The following is a 3,737-nucleotide window of genomic DNA, read 5'->3' as shown; positions in this document are numbered from 1 at the left end:
GTCATCTTTCTTTTCATACCACCCACACCTCAGAGATGATTAGTGTGGGAAAGAGAGTTTCTGGGATACCAGATGAGTTAGTCTCCCCTGTGTGAGACACCCATGGGGAGCCATGGGCGGCCTGTGAGGAGAAAAGTCTCCTTATTGCCTTCATGTCTTTATGCCCAGAGAACATAACCACTCCACGGCATTCCACAGGTTGCTCAGGGAGATAACACTCCCTTGAAGCAGTAGAGTATAATCAAACATCTTGGCTCCTCCTGAAACCCATTCCCACCCATTTCAGTCCCCATAAGTTAAAGATCTTAAGTAGTTTAGACACACACCTTTGCTTGAGGAAATTCACAGAAACCACCACTGCTATACCACTTCTTGAATGACTCACAAGTTCTCCTTCAGAGATTAATCCTTTTCCTCATCCCTTCTTACCCCTCCCATCTGCCCTAAGAACGAAGAGTTTGTAAACCAATAAATTAGGTGGAGCTGAAGAGCTCTGGGCCCTGAGCAAGCCTCCTACGCTCCGGACTCCTGGATCAGCCTTTTAAACACTTATTCTGTCTCTTTCTAACTCCTTTGTCTCTGCCGGACTCGGGGTACCGGCCGGGTGGTGTGAGGCTGGTTTCCCCAACAATTAGAGGTTTATTAGATATCATACAACTAATTAAAGACAAGGCAAGGAGAAAAAAATGAAGTCTTGTGTTTTCCAGTCCAGTATTGTGCACTGGTACTTTGTATATTACCATGATTGTGTACATTTCTTTAGCCTCCCCTCCACCTTTTTTTTAAATAATGTGGGTATCACTTTTGTATCTACAGCTCTTTACAGTTAATTATTTTTTCCTGTGGGAAACTAGTCTTTGATTTCCAAAATACCTTCAAGTCTCATTTTTCTACATCTCTGACCAATCTGCTTTTTTTTTTTGCTTGCTTGCTTTTAAAAAACAATTTATTGCAGTATTATTAACATGTAAAAAGCCTGATAATGTATGCAACTCAATGTGTTTGAGGATAAACCTATGAAACCATCACCGTCATCAGGCTATTAACACATCTATCACCTCCCAGTTTCCTCACACCCCTATTAATACCTGAATGTTTGTACCCTTTGACCATCATCTCCCCATTTCCCCCTTTTAGCAGCCTCTGGTAACCACCATTCTACTCTATGCTTCCCTGTGTTTGAGTATTTTAGAATCTACATATAAATTAAACCATATAGTATTTGTCTTTCTGTGTCTGGTTTATTCCCCCAGATGGATCTGAAGAACATTATACTTGCTTTTTAAATGTGGCTTTTACTCAACATTCTGTTCTTATTATCCCACATATTTCATATTCTGTAACATTTTGTCACGGGATCCTTGGGGTGTTGCTTTGCCATCCTGAAACATCTGTGGCTGGTGGTGCCTTTGCTCAAGTTTTGCACAGGCCCACTGGACTCATTCTGTCCACACAGCCTGGCAAGCTGCACTCAGCTTGCACTAGCAGCCTGGATCCCACAGCTGCCAAGGGTGAACCAGGTACAGAGTGGCGAGGAGTTCATGAGCAAGTGAACACAGGGTCCAGCCACTGCACACGGGCTGCATCAGGGAGGGCAGCTCTAGTGCCAGCATGCATGTTGGCTCCCTGCAAAGCTACATCTGGACCAGTTGTACTACAAGTGGTTCCACTGCTGGCACCAGGGAATATGGGGGTGCCTGGAAGCTTAAAGACACTGGGAACTGCAGAATCCCAAAGTGGGTGTCACGGCCCTGGCTTGGGGATCTCCTAGGTCTGGGCTTCTCAAAGGGCTGCATCTCTTCTCTCTTTCTCTCTTTTCTCCTTTTGTCACCCACAATGTGGCAAGCAAGGGGCATGTTTCAGTGCCGTTTGTGTTACAGCTCTTTTAGCCGTGGCCTTCAGTAGGTCCCAAGTTTGTCCCAGGAAAAATGAGGTATGTGGAAGACTGGAGGATGAGCAAAGTGAAGAGGTGCTTTATTGAGCAACAGTAAAGCTCTCAGAAGACCCAAAGTGGGTAGCTCCTTTCTGCAGGCAGGTCATCCCAAAGAGTTCAGCTCTCAGAAGAGAGGAAACCTGGAATGGGTAGCTCCTTTCTGCAGGCAGGTCACCCCATCATCTGTGCAGCCCTCTGCAGAGGGGAGACCTGAAGTGGGTAGCAGCTCCTATCTACAGAAAAGACATCCCATCATCTGCCCAAGTCTGGCTGAGTCCAGGGTTTTTATGGGCTTTAGATGGGTGGAAGTGCATGCAGATTGGTCCATGGACAGCCGTGGGCAAGCCTGGAAAAAGCAGCATAAGTTCTCACTCAGGTCTGAGGAACTTGCAGCCTGGCCCCAGGCTTCAGGTCATCCCTGGCTTGAAGTTGGGGCTTCACTGGGGATGCACCCCTTTTCTGTCCAGGAGCCTGTCTACCTCCTGCTCCCATCATCCTGCCATCTACAGTGACCATGGTGCCAAGGCTATTCATTCCAAGGGGCACCTGCAGGCCCGTGCTGAGCTGTACTCTGTCCCCCTCAGACTTTCTCCTGTGCTTGTTGGTGCTGAAAGCCCTGATGGGGCCGAGGCAGTAGGGGTCTGGCATGTCAGCACTGCTCCAAATGCTCGCATACCTGGTTGGGTCACATAAGCACCCGGGCTCAGCTTTAACTTTGCTCTGAAATTGAAGTGCACCAGAAGCGAGGAGAGTCCAGGCAGCAGGAGGAAGCACTTTTGAGTCTGTGAGAGGAGGGGACTTCCCAGGCCCCCAAGAGCGCAGGGATGTGTGGGTTTGCAGATGCACCTGAGAGGGTGAGGCTTTCATCCTGATAACTTGGAAGAGGGCAAGGCTTCCACCTGTGCCTGGTTCCCACTGGCTTTATGGAGTCCATTTTTCATAATTCTCTGTGAACTTTATCACTTAAATATTTCTAGATCTTCCCCTTGCTCTCTATTACCACTGCCACTACCATTCTCTGTTGCTGCATATTGCTCAGCTGGATTATTGCATCAATTGGTGAAACTGTTGCTAATTATGTCCCCCTTAAACCACATTTCATGTTACATACATTCATTTTTAAACTAAACATTTATTAGGATGGATTTTTTTTTCTTTTTAATGATCATTATGAAACAACACGGATGAACCTTGAGAACATTAGGCTAAGTGAAAAAGCCAGTCATACAAGGACAGCTATTACATGGTTCTATTTATATGAGGTATCTAAAAAAGTGAAACTCACAGTAGCAAAGAATAGAATAATGGTTGCCGGGGGATAAAGCAAGGTGAAAGAGGGAGTGGCTAATCAACATGTATAAAATTTCAATTATGCAAGATAAGTACTAGATATCTGATGTATAACCTAGTGCCTATCAGATAACAATACGATTTCACTCTTAAAAATCTGTTAAGAGTGTAGGTCTCATGTTACGTCACCTTCTCACAGTAATTTTTTTTTTTTTTGAGACGGAGTCTCACTCTGTGGCCCAGGCTGGAGTGCAGTGGTGCTATCTCAACTCACTGCAAGCTCCGCCTCCCCAGTTCATGCCATTCTCCTGCCTCAGACTCCCGAGTAGCTGGGACTACAGGTGCCTGCCATCACACCCGGCTAATTTTTTTTTTTTTTTTTGTATTTTTAGTAGAGAATGGGTTTGCACCGTGTTAGCCAGGATGGTCTCCATCTCCTGACCTCATGATCCGCCTGCCTCAGCCTCCCAAAGTGGTGGGATTACAGGCGTGAGACACCGCACCCAGCCTTCTC

The 3,737-nt window shown here is 46.2% G+C and overlaps 2 annotated features.

Annotated features, from left to right (window-relative positions):
- Positions 2,620–2,759: an enhancer, noted in NCBI's record as "active region_16886". NCBI's record gives its function as "activates an Ori minimal core promoter by ATAC-STARR-seq in GM12878 lymphoblastoid cells {active_cell/tissue: GM12878}" and the evidence as "EXISTENCE:reporter gene assay evidence [ECO:0000049][PMID:35858748]".
- Positions 3,230–3,299: an enhancer, noted in NCBI's record as "active region_16885". NCBI's record gives its function as "activates an Ori minimal core promoter by ATAC-STARR-seq in GM12878 lymphoblastoid cells {active_cell/tissue: GM12878}" and the evidence as "EXISTENCE:reporter gene assay evidence [ECO:0000049][PMID:35858748]".

This window comes from Homo sapiens, chromosome 2 (assembly GCF_000001405.40).
Source record: "Homo sapiens chromosome 2, GRCh38.p14 Primary Assembly".
NCBI classification, from domain to species: domain Eukaryota; kingdom Metazoa; phylum Chordata; class Mammalia; order Primates; family Hominidae; genus Homo; species Homo sapiens.
The sequence above is the reverse complement of the archived record's forward strand: the minus strand, read 5'-3'. Positions and strand labels throughout refer to the sequence as shown.